Here is a 2586-nt window from a genome sequence, read left to right on the forward strand (position 1 = left end):
AAAGGTAACTATGAGTTTGTCCCAATTGCCTGGGGTCCATGACACTGGGAACAGGGAGACAGAGGCATGATATGGGCTGAGGAGGAGAGGAAAACTCCCTAAACCTCCTGATATCTGTGTTTAGTACCCCATCCTAATTTCTAATTCAAACCAATTTGTTTGTATAGAGCTCTTTTTCAGAGTTGATCTTCCTCAGCCTAGACAGAGGTATGAGGGACAGGGAATATAGAGTCTACCTGGGAGAATGTGTAGAGCATCCTCCCATTCATCATGAGAGGATTCACTGTCTACAACCAGCCCAGAGTCAAATTTGTCTGCCTCAAATGTGATTTTGGTGTTCCTGTGTGGCTGGTTGGAGTCCTAAGTGCCGTGGCTATTTGAACAAGTGACGGCACATTCCTCCAGTGAGTCCTCAGGGACTTCCTTTTCTTCAGCCTTCTGCACCTCCCTGATGAGTCAGGTGGGATAGAGATGGCAAAATATTAAACAGAGAGGGATTGGACACCAGGGAGTCCTAGCCAGTTTTGACAGAGGCATAAGAGAATTGTCCCCAAAAGCAAAGGGGTGGCTCCCTCTAAGAGGGAACAGGCACTCCTCCTCTCTCTGCAAGAGATTGTGGATGCCATGGGAGCCAAAGAGGAAGAGAGCAGCTGGTGTTCATTGCACTGGGAAGATAGGAGCTGAAGAAGATGGAGGCTCAACTGTCTCTATGTGTGCAGATGTGACACTCAGCATGCATGGAGAACCATAACAGCTGCTACATCGTGTGCCAAAGTTGGGTTGAATTTAAATACTGTGGCCAAAGGAATACAGGCTCTTGAGCCACTGTAGGCTCCAGAAATGGTGTGCCTTCTAGGTCTTTTTTTTTTTTAATATTGTGAAATGTACAATTTTTTTCTAGGTACTTCTCTTGATGTTTATATTTTCTAGAAACTTCCTAAATAATTCCTCTGTTTGTTACCTCTTTACTATTTTTTTGAGACACATTCTCGCTCTGTTGCCCAGGCTGGTGTGCAGTGGCACAATCTTGGCTCACTGCAAACTCCACCTCCCGGATTCAAGCGATTCTCCTGCCTCAGCCTCCCAAGTAGCTGGGATTACAAGTACCCACCACCACACCTGGTTAATTTTTGTATTTTTAGTAGAGACGAAATTTTGCCATGTTGGCCAGGCTGGTCTCGAACTGCTGACCTCAGGTGATCCACCCACATTGGCCTCCCAAAGTGCTGGGATTACAGGTGTGAGCCACCATGCCTGGCCCACCTCTTTGCTATTTATCTTTCTTAACAAGAACCTGAAGACAATCATGTAGAAAGCAGCTTTGCATCTCCTCCTGGTTTTCATTACAGGAGAGAACAGTTCTCTGTGAATGCAGGAAATCCCTAGGGCTGGTGGGTTTATCGAGGGTCATGCTTACAAGGACCATGAAGACAATGGACTAGGGCTATTTCCTTGTTGGGTGAGCGCATGAAATGAGCACACTCTGCAGCTTTCTTTACCCTCCATCTGGAATCTGTGACTACCTTCAACTCACTTGTATTCTTTCTAAGACCTTTTCCATGGTTTATCCACCCACTACCTGCCTGATTATTCAGTGTTACCTGGGGGCAGGTGATTCTCATCCTTTATGAATCTCTTCATCTTTATCATTTTCATTATCACCTTCATCATTCTCTGCAAACAAATATAGAAGTGTCCATTTAGATATTCCTCACTTCACACACTGCAAGTACAGCAAGCCCTATGTGCACAGAGACATTAACATCTATGTATGGGTCAGCATTGTGCTGAAAGCTCTCATGTTTTATCTTTAACAAAATTCCCTGGTATGGTTTCCTGATCCATCAGGCAATGAATTTCTGATCTGGAGGGCCACCATCAAGCTGTGGCCAAATATTGAAAAGACCTTTTGCTCCCCGTATCACTGGAGGCTTGTCCAGCATCTTTCTGGACTTTGGCAGCTGTCTTCCCCATCCTGCCACAGATCTGATTCCCAGGCACAGGATCGGTGTCCTGTCACAACTCTCACATTTAGAATATATTTCTTTCTCTTACGGGAGGACAAACAGCCTTGTCCCACCTTTCTCCATGCATTGGGAGACTTCACAAGCCCTCCAAGTTGGCTTCTGCTGTGTTATTCAGGGACATTCTCTCCATGGGGAGTGCTCCAGTCTGAAGCACTTCCTACCACCAAATGCCCCCACATCAAGTGCCTTCTCCAACACCACACGGTGAGGGGCTTCATCTTATTTTGAAATGTAATCATAAGTGTTCCCATATTTGAATGCTGTATCTACCATTGAAGAGACATTTTGACCCCTGTAGAGATTTAGACAAAGAAATCCAGAAAGGATAAATCAATCACTCACCCAAGGTTACTAAGGACATTGCTGAAGATACAGCCTGGGAAACTTCATTCTTAATCCAGGACTCTTTTTACTCTAACAAGTTGCCTCCTGTCACAGCCTCCTTCCTATCCTTTAAAACTGAATGGATATGGCCTCTTGCTCCAAAGAACGTGACTATCAAGGAGGAGGAGACATTTGCAATACTGTGACCTCTAACCCCATGGACTTCTTGTCTCTG

The sequence above is a fragment of the Homo sapiens genome, chromosome 1 (assembly GCF_000001405.40).
Source record: "Homo sapiens chromosome 1, GRCh38.p14 Primary Assembly".
In the NCBI taxonomy this organism is placed as follows: Eukaryota; Metazoa; Chordata; class Mammalia; order Primates; family Hominidae; genus Homo; species Homo sapiens.